The sequence below is a fragment of the Homo sapiens genome, chromosome 16 (assembly GCF_000001405.40).
Source record: "Homo sapiens chromosome 16, GRCh38.p14 Primary Assembly".
NCBI classification, from domain to species: Eukaryota; Metazoa; Chordata; class Mammalia; order Primates; family Hominidae; genus Homo; species Homo sapiens.
Window position 1 is genome coordinate 19,808,563 of NC_000016.10, and position 19,254 is coordinate 19,827,816.

Below are 19,254 nucleotides of genomic sequence, written 5' to 3' on the forward strand. Positions count from 1 at the left end.
TAATAAGGAATTCTAGTTCCTAGGGTGGTTGTGTGGAGTAAATGAGAAACCTGTATATTAGCAGGACTGGTTATATATTAATTTGCAGGGCCCAGAGGAAAATGAAAATGCGGGGCTCCTTGTTCAAAGTGATTAAGAATTTCTAGATAGTGTCAGCAGAGCATAAAATAAGTGTGAGGCCCTTGTAAGCATGAGTCCTGTGCAGTTGCACAGGGCAGTGCCCATGAAGCCAGGCCTGCATGTGAGCCACCTAGTACCCTGCCTGGGGTTAGCACCAGCCAAATCTCCAACTTTCCTAGGGTCATTTTTTTTAGACAGAGTTTTCACTCTTGTTGTCCAGGCTGGAGTGCAATGGCGCAATCTTGGCTCTCTGCAACCTCTGCCTCCTGGGTTTAAGTGATTCTCTTGCCTCAGCCTCCCAAGTAGCCTGGATTACAGGCATGCGCCACCACGGCCAGCTAATTTTCTGTATTTAGTAGAGACGGGGTTTCACCATGTTGGTCAGGCTGGTCTCGAACTCCTGACCTCAGGTGATCCACCTGCCTCAGCCTCCCACAGTGCTGGGATTACAGGCGTAAGCCACCACACCCAGCCACATCCTTTTCTTTTAAGGGCTAACCAGTTTCCCTCCAGGGCAAAGTTTAAGGGTAAATTGCGCAGCTGCAATCTAGTCCCTTCTGCTGAGTAACAAACCACTCTAATATTTAGTGACTTAAAACCACAGCAGTTGATTGTTTTTCATGACGTGTGTTAGCTGGGTAGTTCCTCTACTGGTCTCACCTAGACTCGATCATGTAGCTACATTCAGCTGGTGACCTGGCTGGGCTGGAATGTCCAAGCTGGCCTCACATGTCTGGCAGGTGGTGCTGGCTGCTGGCTGGGGCACCACAGTTCTCCTCCATGTGGCTTCTCATCCTCCAGTAAACCACATCAGCTTCCTTAAATTGTAGCAGATACAATCCAGGGGACAAAAACAAAAACTTCAAGCCTTCTGGAAGTTGCACAACACAGCACTTCAGTTACTGTCTATCTGTCAAAGCCAGTCATGAGCCTTGCCTAGATTCAAGAGAGAGGTGATAGACTCCCTCATTCAATGAGAAGCACGACAATGTTTTCAAGGGGATAGGGACCCAGGAAGATGTGATTCAATGGGGCACAGTGCAGCGGTTCTCCGACTTTAGCCCACATCATAATTATCCAGAGGGCCTGTTAACACACAGCCGATGGGCCCCACCCCCAGAAAACTGGAGTCAGTAGGAGTGGAGTGGGGCCTGAGAACTTGTGTTTCAAACAAGTTCTCAGGTGATGCAGATGCTGCCAGTCTACGGATCCGACTTTGAGAGCTGGCAGAGGAGTTAAGTGTCCACACGTGAGGGCAGTGGTGCTCAACCTTGACTGTACATTAGAAACACCAGGGCGGCGATAACAATCCTGAAGCCAGCAGTTAAATCAGAAGCTGTGGTGGTACGACTCAGCCTTCAGTGGGTTTTTTTTAGAGCACCCCCAAGAGAGTCCAGTGGGCAGCCAAGCTAAGAACTGCTACTTTAGAGTTAGGCCATGTAGGTTCAAGTGCTGGCTACAGTATGCACAAGTTTAGGCAAGTTATTCTACCTCTCCTTGACTCGGTTTCCTCTTTGAAAATAGGGATGTTCGGCCAGGCGCGGTGGCTCATGCCTGTAATCCCAGCACTTTGGGAGGCCGAGGCGGGCGGATCACGAGGTCAGGAGATTGAGACCATCCTGGCTAACACGGTGAAACCCTGTCTATACTAAAAAATACAAAAAATTAGCCGGGTGTGGTGGCGGGTGCCTGTAGTCCCAGCTACTCAGGAGGCTGAGGCAGGAGAATGGTGTCAACCCAGGAGGTGGAGCTTGCAGTGAGCCGAGATCGTGCCACTGCACTCCAGCCTGGGTGACAGAGTGAGACTCCGTCTCAAAAAAAAAAAAAGAAAAAGAAAATAGAGATGGTAGCCAGGTATGGTGGTTCACACCTGTAATCCCAGCACTTTGGGAGGCCAAGGCGGGCGGATCACCTGAGGTCAGGAGTTTGAGACTAGCCTGGCCAACATGGCGAAACCCTCTACTAAAAATACAAAAAGCTAGGCACAGTGGTGGGCGCCTGTAATCCCAGCTACTCAGAAGGCTGAGGCAGGAGAATCACTTGAACCTGGGAGGCGGAAGTTGTAGTGAGCCAAGATCGTGCCACTGCACTTCAGCCTGGGTGACAGAGCAAGACTCCAGCAAAAAAAAAAAAAAGAAAGAAAATGGGGATGGCAATAGTTTCTAATTTGTATGGTTGTTCTGAGAATTAAAAGTTAATATGTATAAAAGTCTTAAAATAGTGCTGGCACTATTATGTAATGAAAGTACTACGTAAAAGTCAGCTCTTGAATACGTATTAGTGGTAAAGAAGAGATCAAGGCATTGAAGGCATTGTACGGTCTGGGTACAGTGGCTCACGCCTGTAATCCCAACACTTTGGGAGGCAGAAGCTAGTGGATTGCTTGAGTTCAGGAGCTTGAGACCAGCCTGGGGAACATGGCAAAACCTGGTCTCTACAAAAAATATAAAAATCAGCCAGGTGTAGTGGTGCATGCCCGTGGTCCCAGCTACTCGGGAGAATGGCTTGAGCCCAGGAGGTTGAAGCCGCAGTGAGCCCAGATCATGCCACTGCACTCAAGCCTGGGTGACAGAGCGAGACCCTGTCTCAAAACAACAACAATGCATTGTACAATGATATGGTCTCTAGCATAGCAAACTTTGCTGTAGTTTAACCCTGTAAATCATTGGAAAGTTTATCAAATACCTTAAATGCTTTTGCAACTTATTCATTCCCTGGTTATTTGGGTAAACAAGTACAGCGAACAGTTGGATGAACTTTATCTGAACTATTATCACTGAGCTGTTGGGGGAAATTCCGTCTTTTCCAAATCTGTACTGCGATATAGTCTTATTATTAAAGGGACTTTAACAAAAAATAGGTGTGGCTTCCTGGGAGGCCTCTTTATATCTGGCACTGCAAAGACGACCCCACCAAAAAGCAGCTGCTCTTCATGAGTCACAGAGATAGTGCCTTGCTGACTATACATTAATGACCTGAGCAGTCCTTTTTGACTCAGATTTTGTGGATTTGAAATAATCAACGTGCCATTCATGTGAGCAAGAACTGAAAGTTGTACAGATGTTAGGATGCTAAGTCTTGTAACATTAAGTTCATTCTTAACATTCTGTTTATTAGAACAGTGTTCCCCAAACTTTTCAGATCATTAGAATCACCTAGGTTTCTTCCTGAACATGCTGAAACCTTGGTTCTACCTCACACATACTCAATCAGTACCTACAGGGAAAGGGTCTGGGATTCTGTTTTGAACAAGTACCTTCAGTGATCTCAGTGTCATCAGGTAAATTTAGGAAATAGCCTTAATTTTTTTTTTTTTTTTTTTTGAGACAGAGTCTCACTCTGTTGCCCAGACTAGAGTACAGTGGTGCAAACTCGGCTCACTGCAGTCTCTGCCTCCCGGGTTCAAGCAATTCTTCTGCCTTAGCCTCCCCAGTGGCTGGGATTACAGGCGTGCACCACCACACCCACTGATTTTTGTAGTTTTAGTAGAGATGGAGTTTCACCATGTTGGCCAAGCTGGTCTTGAACTGCTGACCTCAAGTGATCCGCCCACCTGGGCCTCCCAAAGTGCTGGAATTACAAGCATGAGCCACTATGCCTGGCCATGGAAATAGCATTAAATTAATATTTATGTAATACATATAGACAGATGGAAGAGGCAATAGGGAAGCTGGGGGCTATAGGTTCTAATGACCACTCAAGAGCGGGTGTTTGTAAACTATAGCCCACAGAGCAAATCTAGCCTACTGCCTGTTTTATAAAGTTTTGTTAAAATACAATATGCCTATTTTAAAAACATGTTTTCTATGGGTGCTTTTGTACTATAATGTCAGAGTTGGCATTATTATGACAGAGACCATATGATGCACAAAGCCGAAAATATTTACTATCTGATCTTTTACAAAAAAACAGTTTACTGACCCCTGGATAAGAGATATGATTTCAGATGTGGGCAAACTTGGAACTAATAGTTATGAGCTCATAATAAAAAATAAACCAACAAGAAAGGAGGGGAGTCAGTAGATACAATCAACTGGAAAATCCAAATCCCCAAGAGTGGCAATTTGAGACTATAAAATAAGTATAAGATTATAAAGATTTGCTAGAAAAAATATATAAATCTTGCTGAAAGAAAAAGGCAATTCATTGCAGAAAAAGGTAGGGGGGGAAATTCAGATTTGAAAAAACTTAAGTGCATCCTCTAGAAATGAAAGCAATTGAATCAATGTACTAAAGCAGTGCTTCTCAAACTTCAGTGAGCATCACAGTCACCTGCAGAGTTTGGTAAAACACAGATTCCTGGGCCCCACTCTGTTAAATGGGTCTTGGGTGAAGCCCATGAATTTGCATTTCTAATAAGCTCCCAGGTGATGCTGATATTTCTGATCCATGGACCATATTTTAGGTATGAGTTAAACAGCAGATAGACACAGCTGGAGAAGTAATTAGTCAACTGGAAGACAGATCTGGGAGATAGAATGCAGTAGAGAGATAGGGATAGGAAATGTGGAAAAGCAGTTAAGAGACAAGGACAGAATGAGAAGGTCCAACCTAAGTCTAATAGGAATTCCAGAGGGAAACAATAGAATGAATGGGGGAGAAGCAATATTCATAGAGATATTGAGTGACAGTATTCCAAAGTTGAAGAAACATGAATCTTGAACTAGATAAATAAGGACAAAACAATACCAAAATGCTTCATGGTGAAACTATGCAAAGAAGAAGCCAGCAAGCTATCTTAAAGGAAAGATTACCTACAAAGGAAAGCAATGAGATGATTATAGACTTCCAATCAGCAGCAGTATATGCCAGAAGACAGGGAAGTGTAATGTCTTCTAATCCAGACAAAATAATATTCAACCTAGAATTATGTGCCTACTAAATTACCATTCAAGAGCAAGGGCTATAAACAAAGGCATTTAAAAACACATCTCGCATTGAAAGAACTGCTAAATGATATACTTCAGCTAGAAGGAAACTGAACCCACAAGGAAGGAGTGGGATGCAAGAAACAATGGTGAATGAGGAAGCTGATAGATCTAAATAGTTATTAACCAATAGGAAATAAATTAGGGGAAACTAAAATACTAGATAACAATAATATAAAAGTTGAGAATTGGAAGGTTGGAGTTAAGCATTTTAAAGTCCTTGTGTTGTTTGGGAGGAGGCTGGACAGCCTTTTGTTTTGTTTTGTTTTGTTTTTTACTCTAAGTAATTTATTACATTATAACAACACATTAAAGAAAACAATTAGGGCTGGGTGTGGTGGCTCATGCCTGTAATCCCAGCACTTTGGGAGGCCAGGGTGGCGGATCACTTGAGGTCAGGAGTTCGAGACTAGCCTGGCCAACGTGGTGAAACCCTGTCTCTACTAAAAATACAAAAAAATTAGTTGGGTGTGGTGGCGGGTAACTGTAATCCCGGCTACTCAGGAGGCTGAGGCAGGAGAATTGCTTAAACCCAGGAGGTGGAGGTTGCAGTGAGCCGAGATCGTGCCATTGCACTCCAGCCTGGGCAACAAGAGCAAAACTCTATCTCAAAAAAAAAAAAAAAAAAAAAAAAAACCACAAAAATTGGCTGGGCATGATGGTGGGCACCTGTAATCCCAGCTACTCAGGAGGCTGAGACAGGAGAATCACTTGAACCCGGGAGGAAGAGGTTGCAGTGAGCCGAGATCGCACCATCGCACTCCAGCCTGGGTGACGAGAAACTCCATCTCAATAAAGAAAAGAAAAGAAATGGAATGTGAACTAATAAATCAGTAGAAGGAAACAAGTAGAATGCAGAAAATTCAATGCAACAGAAAGCAGGATAGAAAAAGACAAAATTATGACAAAAAACAGAGTGAGAGACATAAATACAAACATATCACTAATCTCAATAAATGTAAATAGAATGAAGTTTTCTCTGATTTTCAGATTGAATTAAAAAAGAAATCTGCCTTTATGCTGAAGGTATAGGCACATAAAATGACCCAGAATGGCTGAAAATAATGAGATGGGAAAGACTGACAACACAGATACTAACCAAAAGAAAAGTAATATAGCAATATTAAGGTGAGATAAATAGACAAAAGGCCGAAAACATTAGGAATAAAGAGGGTCTTTTTTTTTTTTTTTTTTTGAGACAGGGTCTCAGTCTGCTGCCCAGGTCGGAGTGCCATGGTGCAGTCACATTGACTGCACCCTCGACCTTCTGGGCTCAAGCAATCCTGCCACCTCAGCCTCCCAAGTAGCTGGAAATACAGGCATGCACCACCACACTTGTCTAAAATTTAGTTTTTTTGTAGAGCTGAAGTCTCACTAAAATGCCTAGGCTGGTCTCGAATTCCTGTGCTCAAGTGATCCAGCTACCTCATCCTCCCAAATTGCTGGGATTATAGGCGTGAGCCACTACGCCTGGCCTGGAGAGGGTCCTTAATGATAAAGGAATAATTATCATTTTCTGTATTTTCCATTTGATTATATTTTTTAATGTCATTCACCAGCCACCCAACTGAATTTACCACTCACTAATATGACACAACAGACTGAAAAATGCTGCTCTAGAACACACTTCTAAACCTCCCTGAAAGCCCCAAGTAACTCTAAGAGGACTACTGTCCCACCGCAGTAGAATATCTGTAACACTTCCACAATACCAGGGAATAGGTGATATCTACAGCTTTTACAAATTAGATCCTTAAAGGCCGACGCCAGTGGCTTATGCTGATAATCCCAGCATTTTAGGAGGTGGAAGTGAGATGACTGCTTGAGCCCAGGAGTTCAAGACCAGCCTAGGCAGCATAGTGAGACCCCATCTCTACAATTAGGAAAAAACAAAACAAAACAAAACAAAACAAAACTAGGCATGGTGGTTTGTGCCTGTAGTACCAGCTAGATGGGAGGCTGAGGTGGGAGGATCCCTTGAGCCCGGGAGTTTCAGGCTGCAGTGAGCTGCGATTGCACCACTGCATTCCAGCCTGGGCAACAGAGCAAGATCCTGTCTCAAAAACCAAAAACAAACATTAGAGGCTTAAGACAATAAGGAACACTAATAATTACCAGAATGAAAAACTAGCTTTTGTTTTGTTTCATTTTGCCAAAGATCTAAGAAGAAATCACAAAGCTTCCTTATAAAGTTGAATTCAAGAGAGTTATGAACTCTGAATATTTTATTAATATAAGATCATTGAAAAAGATTTTGCAAACATATACTTCCTTTATGTTGAAATCTGCTTTTCTTGAGTATAAAATCCTCCAGTATAATCATTAGTATGTCACATCATTAGCAAAGATGTATTAAGAACCTTCTATGAGGCATCTCACACCAAGTCGGTGGTTCACTCTTGTGAACATGACTGAAGAGGCCTGACCATTATGTTATTTCCCCAGCTTCTTTCCAGCAACTGTAATATATGAACTGCCTTCCTCCAGAGCAATTAGAAAAAGCCCTGGGAATCATCCTCAGTCATCCAGGCTGTTGCTAGGTTTTTGTCTGTTTTGCCAAGAATCAGAGAAAACAACTGAGGAATTTAGAAGTCTAGATCCACAATGGGTAATTTCAGAGTCCCAGGCAACAGTCTCCCTCCTCTTCTCTGCCTGCAACCACCACCTCACAGCAACACTTCTTTTTTTTGAGACGGAGTCTTACTCTGTCACCCAGGCTGGAGTGCAGTGGCGTGATCTCGGCTCACTGCAACCTCCACCTCCTGGGTTCAAGCGATTCTCCCACCTCAGCCTACCAAGTAGCTGGGATTACAGGTGCGTGCCACCACACCCAGATAATTTTTGTATTTTTAGTAGAGACGGGGTTTCACCATGTTGGCCAGGCTGGTCTCAAACTCCTGACCTCAGGGGATCCACCCGCCTCAGCCTCCCAAAGTGCTGGGATTACTCAGGCGTGAGCCACCGCGCCTGGCCAACACTTCTTTCTGCTGCCTGGCTAATGCCTAAAATTATAAAATTACAAAATCATTTATATATTCAATACTTTGTAAACCCTTGGGAGGAGACTTGCTTTCAGTTTTCTGAATAACTGGCTCCTCAGCCACTTGGTTCCATGTACTAATAGCAATTGTAAGATTCAACCTCAGAGCTGAATCCAGATTATTCTCACTACTTCAGCAATTGATTTAAGAAATTACTAACAGTGAGAGCTTGCTATGTGTAATGACACTGGTTTAGCACTTTGCATGTATTATCTCAGCTTATTTTCACACCAACCCAATGAAAAAATATTTTTATTTTCCCCATTTTACAGATGAGAAAATTGAGGCTCAGGGAGTTTAAGGAACCTGCCCAAGGCTCCTTAGTTTGTAATTTGTGGAGCTGAGATTCAGCCTCAGGCTATCGGATCCAGGGTTGGCTTTTAAAACCAATATGGTACCCTGTACTAGCTTCCATCAGGGTAATCTATAATTAGGAGAATCTGATGGTGTCATGGGCATTTTTTTAAAAAAACTGACATAAATAATGTATACCCTATTTATGTTCCCGTCTTGAAGGAGCAAATAGAGACTCCACACAGTACTTTTATTTTAAAAATAAAAGTAGAAAGCTCTTAGTAAGGGAGGCTTTGTTTGGCAATGAAATTGTTTATGTGTTAAACATTAAACTGCATTCCATGGTATTTGCTGATTGGCACAACTACTGCCATTGAAATTGATTCCCTAATCATGATGATAATGACTGGGATTAGCCCAGTTCAATGGGTGCGTGCTTTCCCCAGGGCTCACAAAAGCCTTCTCTAGAGATCCAGGCTTCCGTGGTAATGAACTAACAAGGCTGCTGTATTCTCTATGGGTAAATAGCAGTCCTCACTTCAAAATGAAGGAAATTAAGGAAAAGATGAAAGGGTCTCTGGCCAGACAGAGCAAAATCACGCTAAACTGGTCAGCAGAACCCTATGAACAACTGCAGGCTTCCAGAATGATGAGGAAATGGATGTTTCTGTTTTTGTTGTTGTTGTTGTTGAGTATTTAGGTAATGGAGAGTCAAACGATTATAGGAAAAATTAATTAATTATTTATAAGTTAAAGGACTTTTATTTGCCCCTCAGAACCTGTTAACTTAAAATTTTAAACAGTTCTTGTATTCCTAAAACAATACATGCTCATTGTAAATATCCCAAACAATCCAGTCCAGAAAAACATGGACTGAAAAGTGACAGTCCCTGATGACGAACCCACCTTGTATGTCCTTCCAAACATTAAGAGTAAACCAATTGTAAAGAAAGAATTTGACTGTGATAAAACATAGTCAAGTTGCTGATTATAACTAGACCTTCCTTTAATGATTCAGAAGATCCGTTGGGTTTATTCTCATGAAGGTTATCAGTTGTCGCGGTCCAGAAGTATGGGTATTCTTGTGTGCTTAGATCCCGATAAACACGAGCCTGTGGGAAAGTTGGGGTTAATCCCTTGTTTGCCTCCTCCCCTGCCCTTCGCCTCTAGGAGGGTTTGGGTTGCTGAGATCACAGCTAAAGTTATGGCTAGTAAGATATGATAACTCATCCTACCCAGAACCGAGATGTCTAGGATGCCTGATTCTTATGAGCATGAGACTTTAAGAAATACTGTAAAAACACTGGTTTGTAATCATAAAGATCTGGGGGCTTATCCCATGTTCTGTGACATTAATATAGAGCTGATTTTCCTCTCTGAGATTTGCATGACACACTACTTTGTGTGTGTGTGTGTGTGTGTATACACATATATAACGTTTTACATATATACATTTTTCTTTTTGAGACGGAGTTTCGCTCTTGTCATTCAGGCTGGAGTGCAATGGCACGATCTTGGCTCACTGCAACCTCCGCCTCCCAGGTTCAAGTGATCCTCCTTCCTCAGCCTCTTGAGTAGCTGGGATTACAGACATGTACCACGATGCCCACCTAATTTTTGTATTATTAGTAGGGATGACGTTTCACCATGTTGGACAGGGTAGTCTCGAACTCCTGACCTCAGGTGATCTGCCCGCCTTGACCTCCCAAAGTGCTGGGATTACAGGTGTGAGCCATCGTGCTCAGCCGTTTTTTATATATATTTAGAGATAAATTGTGTATTTTCTTTTTATTAAGCAAGGTAAACTTCCATTTGTAAGTTTAGCTGAAAACAATCAATCTTCTTTATTTGGGAGTAAAAAAATCAGTTGAATGGTTTTCTTAAAACAAGTAAGGCACCCTATGCTCTGGAAGAGGAAGTAATAGGAACGACTTTATTTTTCTTGAGTTTGACAAGACCGTCTATCCAAATTCCTCTCGGCGAGTAAAGCTCTGGGGTGGCATTGGATCAATTGGCATAAAAAATCTAGAATTGTCTGGGAGGAAAGGGATTGAGATCACCGCAATCCCAATATTTCTCCCCAAGTTTCCTAGTTATCAAAACCTGTTGGAGGCCTTTGCTATAGAAGAACAGGATCAGAGAGATGAAGTGTTAAAGGGTGTCCACGATGGTGAGTGTGTTAAGGCTGGGCTCCCCACCACTGGTGGATCTGGACCTATCACGGTAGCTTTTGCTACTTATTCTTTTGTTTCAAATTCCACAGGGGGCTGGGTGTGTTGTCTCACGCCTGTAATTCCAGCACTTTGAGAGGCTGAGGCTGGCAGATCACTTGAGGTCAGGAGTTTGAGACGAGCCTGGCCAACATAGTGAAATTCCGTCTCTACTAAAAATACAAAAATTAGCCGGTCATGGTGGCGGGTGCCTGTAGTCCCAGCTACTCAGAAGGCTGAACCAGGAGAATTGCTTGAATCCGGGAGGTGGAGGTTGCAGTGAGCCGAGATCGTGCCACTGTACTCCAGCCTGGGTGACAGAGTGAGACTCCATCTAAAAAAAAAAAAAAATTTCACAAGGGCAAATCTCTTTGGATCGCCAGTAGACTTAGAATGTATTCTATAGACAATATTTCCACATTTCCCAAATGCTCTTTCAATCCAGCTGTGATTAACATGTTTGGAAGTAATTCATATGATAAATTGGAAGCAGTATTGACTATGTCAAAATTTAATAACTAGAGACTTAGTTTTATTTACCACTCCTATACCTTATTTAGAACGTCCATACATTTTGGCCGGGTGCGGTGGCTCACGCCTGTAATCCCAGCACTTTGGGAGGCCACGGGGGGCAGATCACGAGGTCAGGAAATCTAGACCATTCTTGCTAATACGGTGAAACTCTGTCTCTACTAAAAATACAGAAAGTCCATACAGTTTAACTTGAAAAAAAAAAACATGCATTGTGGGAAAAGAATTAAGAGTCTAGAAATAAACGCATACCTCTGTGGTCAATTGATTTTTGATAAGGGTGCGAAGACCATTCAGTGGGACAAAGAATAGCCTCTTCAACAAATGGCTCTGGGGCAACTTGATATCCACATGCCAAAAATGAAATTGGACCCTTACCCCACACCGTATATAAAAATTAACTCAAAATGGATCAAAGAGCTACACTACCCAACTCTTAGAAGAAAACATAGGGATAAATCTTTATTATCTTAGATTTGGCAATAATTTTTTATCTATGACACCAAAAGCACAAATAACAAAAGAAAAAAAAATAGATAATTTCAGGCCAGGCGCAATGGCTCAAGTCTGTAGTAATCCTAGCACTTTGGGAGATCAAGGTGGGTGGATCGCTTGAGGTCAGGAGTTCGAGACCAGCCTGGCCAACATGGCAAAACCCCATCTCTACTAAAAACACAAAATTGCTGGGCTTGGTGGCTCACGCCTGTAATCCCAGCACTTTGGGAGGCCGAGGCGGGTGGATCATGAGGTCAGCAGATCAAGACCATCCTGGCTAACATGGTGAAACCCCGTCTCTACTAAAAATACAAAAAATTAGCTGGGCGCAGGGGCGGGCGCCTGTAGTCCCAGCTACTCGGGAGGCTGAGGCACGAGAATCACTTGAACCCGGGAGGCAGAGGTTGCAGTGAGCCAAAATTGTGCCATTGCACTCCAGCCTGGGCACCAGAGGGAAACTCTGTATCAAAAAAAAAAAAAAAAAGATAAATTTGATTTTATCAAAATTTAAAACCTTTTGCATCAAAGTACACTATTAAGAGAGTGAAAAGACAACTTACAGAATGGGAGAAAATACTAGTATATAATACATTTGAGAAGCGTATAGTGTCCAAAACATATAATAAACTCTTACAACTCAACAACAAAATGACAAGCAACCCACTGTTTAAAAGGGCAAAGGGAAGTGGAGGGAGAAAAAAGTAAACAAATAAAATGGGCAAAGGCCTTGAATAGACATTTCTCCAAGAAGTTATACAGACAGGCGACAAGCACATGAAAAGATGCTCGATGTCATTAAACATTAGAGAAGTACACATTTAAACCACAATGAGATGCCACTTCATATCTACTAGGATGGCTATAGTGAAAAACAAACAGAGCCAGGCACAGTGGTACACACCTGTAGTCCCAGCTAGTCAGAAGAATGAGGTGGGAGGATTACTTGAGCCCAGGAGTTTGAGACCAGCCTGGGCAAAAAAGCGAGACCCTATTTAATTTAAGAAAAAATTAAATTAAATTAAAAATGAAATTTAAATGTAAAATTAAAAATCAAAAATAACACGTGTTGACAAGAATGTGGTTCAGTTAGAGCCCTCATTCATTGCTGGTGAGAATACAAGATGATTCAGCCACTGTGAAAACCAGTTTGTTTTCTCAATAAGTTGAATGTAAAATTACCCATGTCACCCAGCAATTCGACTTCTAGGTCTACAACTCCCCTTCCAAATTGAAAATAGGTATTTAAACAAAAACTCGCCTGTAATCCCAGCACTCTGGGAGACCGAGGCGGGTGGATCACCTGAGGTCAGGAGTTCAAGACCAGCCTGGCCAACATGGTGAAACCCCGTGTCTACTAAAAATACAAAACATTAGCTGGGCATGGTAGCATGTGCCTGTAATCCCAGCTACTCAGGAGGCTGAGGCATGAGAATCGCTTGAAAGTGGAGGTTGCAGTGAGGCGAGATCACGCCACTGCACTCCAGCCTGGGTGACAGAACGAGACTCCGTCTCAATAAATAAATAAACAAACAAAAACTCATACACAAATGTTCATAGCAACCCTGTTCCCAATAGCCAAAAGGTAGGAACAACTTAAATGTTCCATTAAGTGCTGGGCTCGGTGACTCACACCTGTAATCCCAGTACTTTGGGAGGCTGAGATAGGAGGATTGCTTGAACCCAGGAGTTTGAGACCAGCCTAGGTAGTATAGTGAAACTTTGTCTCTACAAAAACAAAAAATTAAAAAATTAGCTGGGTGTGGTGGCACGCCTGTAGTCCCAGCTGAGGTGAGAGGATTGCTTGACTCTGGGAGGTGGAGGTTGCAGTGAGCCAAGATCATGCATCACTGCACTACAATCTGGGCGACAGAATGAGACCCTGTCTCAAAAAAAAAAAAAAAACAAAAAAAAAAACAAAAAAAAACGGCCAAGTGAGGTGGCTCACGCAGTAATCCCCGCACTTTGGGAGGCCGAGGCAGGCAGATCACACGGTCAGGGGTTCGAGACCAGCCTGGCCAACATGGTGAAACCCCATCTCTACTAAAAATACAAAAATTAGCTGGGCGTGGTGGCAGGTGCCTGTAATCCCAGCTACTCGGGAGGCTGAGGCAGGAGAATTGCTTGAACCAGGGAGGCAGAGGTTGCAGTGAGCTGAGATCATGCCACTGCCTTCCAGCCTGGGTGACAGAGTGAGACTCTGTCTCAAAAAAAAAAAAAAAAAAAAGCAAAACAAATGTCCCATTAAGTGATGAATGGATAAAAATAAATGTCCTATACCTATACGATAGATATTATTCAGGAATAAGTATTGATACATGCTGCAATGTGGATAAACCTTAAAATATGATATGCTGACTGGAAGAATCCAGACACAAAGGACACATGATTGTACGATTCCATTTGTAGGAAATATCCAGAATAGGCAAATCCAGAGAGACTGTGGATCTAAAGACACAGAGAGGCTATGGAGACTACAGTAGGTCTGTGGTTGGCTGGGGTAGAGAGAGGGGAGAATGGGAATTCACTGCTTAAAGAATGTGGGATTTCCTTTTGGCCTGATGAAAATGTGTTGCAATGAGAGAATGGTGATGGTTGCATAACATTGTAAGTGTACTTAATGCTACTGAACTGTATACTTTAAAAGGATTAAAATGGTACAGTTTATGCTACGTGTATTTGACCAAATTTTAAAAAAATCACTAAGGTTCCTTGTGAATCTGATAAAATTTCAGTGGAGGGAAAGGACAACAAGGCTCTTTGATGTAAAATTATTAAGAGAGTTGGAAGAGGTGGCCCCTCTATCAATAGGGGATAGACGAGAGGGAATGGTAGTTCTGGGGCTAGGTGGTAGCTGATGGTGAAACCTGGCTCGGTCTCACCCTTTGGGGACTGTGTTTGTGTCCTAAGATGGTGGATGTGTGGGTAACTCGAGCAAGTTGAAACTTGGGAGCCCAGGCTTGGGCTCCCTCAAAGGATAGCAGTGACCATGGTAGGAAGCCCAGGGACCAAGGTAGGAAGTCCCAAGATCCAGTGGTGATCTGAAAAAGCAAGAAATTGAGCTTTGGCTTGGTGGCATCCCCATGGTCAGCAGAGTTGGGGAGCAGCCGACCCCTTTAGACAAGCCTGGCTCTCTGGTCTGTCCTCATCCTGCACTCCCTTCACCAGTTTCTCTTAAATGCTGGGTCCTGCAGGCCTAGCAGGTTTCTATTTCTGCTTCAGTGTGCCCTGCATCCCTCCCAGCAGGAGAGACAGTAGTTCCTGACTATCAGACCGGCTGGTCTGAGTTGTGGCTTTAAGAAGAGAAGAGGACACCTGGGGTCCCTGGGGAGACATGAGGGGACCACGGCCTAGAGAGGGAAGCACTGACCGGGGCATGTGGCATGTGACTGCCCCAGTTCTGCATGCTCATTCCAGTTCAGGCAACTGTTCCTCTAGAATACACAGCTACTGCCTCATTTAAAATGAATGGAGCTGGCTGGGCACAGTGGCTCACGCCTGTAATACCAGCACTTTGGGACGCCGAGGTGGGCAGACCACCTGAGGTCAGGAGTTCGAGACCAGCCTGGCCAACATGGCAAAACCCAGTCTCTACTAAAACTACAAAAATTAGATGGGGTGGTGCATGCCTGTAATCCCAGCTACTCGTGAGGCTGAGGCAGCAGAATTGCTTCAACCCAGGAGGCGGAGGTTGCAGTGAGGTGAGATCACACCACTGTACTCCAGCCTAGGCGGCAGAGTGAGACTCCCTCTTAAAAAATAAATAAATAAATAAATAAATAAATAAAGTTGATTAAGACAGTGGTCCCCAACCTTTTTGGCACCAGGGACCAGTTTCGTGGAAAACAGTTTTTCCATGGATGAGGGACTGGGGTTGGGGGATGGTTTTGGGATGATACAAGCACGTTACATTTATTGTGTACTTTCTTTCTATTATTATTACATTGTAATATGTAATGAAATAATTATACAACTCACCATCATGTAGAATCAGTGGCAACCCTGAGCTTGTTTTCCTGCAACTAAGTGGTCCCATCTGGGGGGTGATGGGAGATGGTGACAGATCATCTGGCACTAGTTAGATTCTCATAAGGAACATGCAGCCTAGATCCCTCACATGTGCAGTTCACAATAGGATTCATGCTCCTATGAGAATCTAATGCTGCCACTGATCTGACAGGAGGTGGAGCTCAGGTGGTAATGTGAGCGATAGGGAGTGGCTGCAGATACAGATGAAGCTTCCCTGCTCACTCGCCACTCACCTTCTGTTGTACCGCCTGGTTCCTAACAGGCCATGGACCGGTACCAGCATGTGGCTGCAGGGGCTGGGTACCTCCGAAATAAGGGGAACCCCCAAAGTAGCCCTATTTAATAGTTAGAGAGCTGAGTCAGGGACTTCTTTGGAAAATGTTGGATCTCATTTCTCAGGTTGTCTCACAGCATTCTTTTGTGACTTTAACTTATCTTTCAAGATAAAGTTGACACACATCCACATATGTAAAATCACTCCCTTCCAGTCTTGGAATCTGCTTTGTGAGATGCAGCTCCTCTGGCAAGTGAAGAGGTAGAAAGATGAACCAGGAAGAGGAAGGATGTGAGTGGCTGTGGCCTTTCTGAGCCGTTTGTTACTTTCTCACCTTGGAATTCCTGTATCATCCAAGACTGTTTCACCATTCTGCACCTCTTGCAGAGGCCAGTATCTCTCCCAGGAACACAATTACACTCCATCCCTTCTTTCCATGGTGAACTCTAGTTCGTCCTTCAAAACAGCCCAGGGGTTTTCTGACCTCTCCAAGGCTGGGTTCGATGCCCCTTTGTTTTCCCTTGCACTCACCAACTTCCCTAGTCTTACCATACCTTATTGATCTTATTCCTGTGTCTCCTCCTACACTTTAAGTTTCTCAAAGGCAGCTGGAATCAATCCATTCAAGTTTTAATTCCAGCTCCACCATATCCAGTACGACTTGGCAAGCCACTAAAACTCAGTTATCTCATCTGTAACATGGAGATAATCATTCCTGCCTTATTGGCTTGGCTTAGTGATTCAAATTTGTAAAATAGGCCGGGAGCAGTGGCTTATACCTGTAATCCCAGCCCTTTGGGAGGCCAAGGCGGATGGTTCACTTGAGGTCAGGAGTTCGAGACCAGCCTGACCAACATGGTAAAACCCTGTCTCTACTAAAAATACAAAATTAGCCAGGCCTGGTGGTGCACACCTGTATTCCCAGCTACTTGGGAGGCTGAGGCAGGAGAATTGCTTGAACCCGGGAAGTGGAGGTTGCAGTGAGCTGAGATTGCACCATTGCACTCCAGCCTGGGCAGCAAGAACGAAACTCCATCTCAAAAAAAAAAAAATGTAAAATATTTGGCCAGGCACAGTGGCTCTCACCTGTAATCCCAGCACTTTTAGAGGCCAAGGCTTGAGCCCAGGAGTTTGAGACCAGCCTGGGCAACATGGCAAGACTCTTTCTCTACAAAATAAAGAAAATAAAAAATGAAATAAAATTTGTAAGATACTTCAAACCATGCCTGGGAGATAAATGCTCAATAAATATGAGCTATAATAAAAATAAAAATAATTATTGTTGAAATTACTATTATTCATCTCTTTAATCTCAACGTCTAGCACAAAAGTTGGTATGAAGTAAGCAGTCAGTGTTAAATAGAACTGTGGTTAATGCATTAACTGTGGTGAACCTAGAACTGTGCTGTTCTATATAGTAGCCACCAGCTACATGTGTCTGTTGAGCACTTGAAATGAAGTATGTTGTAAGTGCAAAAACACACAGTGTTGAAGACTTAGCATGTAAAACAGAAAGTAAGATAACTCATAAATAATTTTTTATTTTTATTTTTTTGAGACAGGATCTCAGGCTGGAGTGCAGTGGCACAATCTTGGCTTACTGCAGCCTCAACCTCCCAGGCTCAAGCAATCCTCCCATATCAGCCTCCTGAGTAGCTGGGACTACAGGTGTTCACCACCACACCCAGCTAATTTTGTTTATTTTTTATAGAGATGACGTCTCACTATGTTGCCCAGGCTGGTCTTGAACACCTGGGCTTGAGCAATCCTCCTGCCTTGGCCTCTCATAGTACTGGGATTTACAGGCATGAGTCACCATGCCCAGCATAATTTTTTTTAATATTAATTACATGTTGAAGTAATAAGATTTTGAATGTTTTAGGTTAAGTGAGATATATTCTTGTTTGTTTGTTTGAGATGGAGTTTCTCTCTTGTCGCCCAGGCTGGAGTGCAATGGCACAATCTCAGTTCACTGCAACCTCCCCTCCCGGGTTCAAGCAATTCTCTTGCCTCAGCCTCCTAAGTAGCTGGGATTACAGGCACCCGCCACCGCACTCAGCTAATTTTGGTATTTTTAGTAGAGAGGGGGTTTCACCATGTTGGCCAGGCTGGTCTCGAACTCCTGACCTCAGGTGATCTGCCAGCCTCGGCCTCCCAAAGTGCTGGGATTACAGGCGTAAGCCACCGTGCCTGGCCAAGTGAAATATATTCTTAAAAATAATCTTACCTGCTTGCTTTTACTTTTTAAAATGAGATGCCAGGAAGTTTAAAGTTACAAATGTGGTGGCTGCATTATCTTTCTATTGGACAGCACACACCTATTCATTCTTAACCTACTATTACTATAGCAAATCTTCACACAACCTCATTTATGCTCAAATATGATGTAAGCTCTAGGAGTGTCAATAATTCATTTAGGACGATGATTCATTGAGAATCAAAAGTACATCCAACTGGTTTGTAAAGGATTTTCCATGCAGGGTTAATAAGCTAGTGTACAGAAGTGTGTCGAAAAGGGACTAAAGTTTTACTGGGATTTTCCAGGTTCGCTGTGATCCTGAGATTCAAGAACTGCGTCAGTGGCAGAAGAAACTTCGCGAGGCCAAGCACATTCACCAGCAAGTCAAAATTTTCTGGGCCAAGCAAGAACAAAAAGGTAAGTTGCTGGATTCACTGTCCTTAGTTCATTCAAGAAAAGCCTGATTCTTATTCCAGGCTCAAGAAGGAGGCCCTCTGAGCTTTTGTAAGGTCCTTGTCTGCATGGAACTCAGCTTGTGCATGGGGGAAGTGGCTGCATATTAAGATTCTGCTATGGAATGACAGAGGTGATGTGATATAATTTACAGGGCCATTTCTCTCCCACAGGGACAAATTCAGTGTCTCCCTGTGTCTGCAGTTTCTATTTTTGAAGCTACAAGACATCAAGAATAACCCATTATTTTGGAAACACAGTGTCTATCAGTATGATGGATAGTTATAGTTATTCTTCTAAGTTGTTGATTGTGTGTCTGAACTCAGATGGTATTTTATGCTTGTCTTCTCCCCTTTTGCGATGGCTAATTTTATGTGTCAACTTGACCGGGCTGTGAGATGCCCAGATTAAACATTATTTCTAGATCTGTCTGTCAAGGTGTTTCCAGAGAGATTAGCATTTGAATTGATTGACCAAATAAAGCAGATGGACCTCCCTAATGGGCTTCATCCAATCTGTTAAGGGCCTGAATAGAACAAAATGGTGGAGGAAGGTTGCATGGACTCTGCCTGGCCATGTGAGCTGGGGGCCTTGATCTTCTGCCCTTGGTGCTCCTGGCTCGCAGGCCTTCAAACCCAGACTA

General features: G+C 43.2%; 1 protein-coding gene and 1 pseudogene across 8 annotated transcripts in view; one reads left to right on the forward strand and one right to left on the reverse strand.

The window, feature by feature from the left end:
• IQCK (IQ motif containing K) overlaps positions 1-19,254 on the forward strand; it is a 140,197-nt gene that overhangs the window by 90,292 nt on the left and 30,651 nt on the right. For all 8 annotated transcript variants that reach the window (NR_130967.3, NR_130968.3, NM_001394805.1 and 5 more), the window contains one exon: positions 18,464-18,575. Coding sequence is in view for 6 of the 8 variants with exons in the window: in NM_001394805.1 (NP_001381734.1) it covers positions 18,464-18,575 (112 nt within the window). In the remaining 2 variants the exon portion in view is untranslated. The remainder of the gene's footprint in view (positions 1-18,463; positions 18,576-19,254) is intronic.
• On the reverse strand, positions 10,942-11,066 carry LARP7P2 (LARP7 pseudogene 2; annotated as a pseudogene).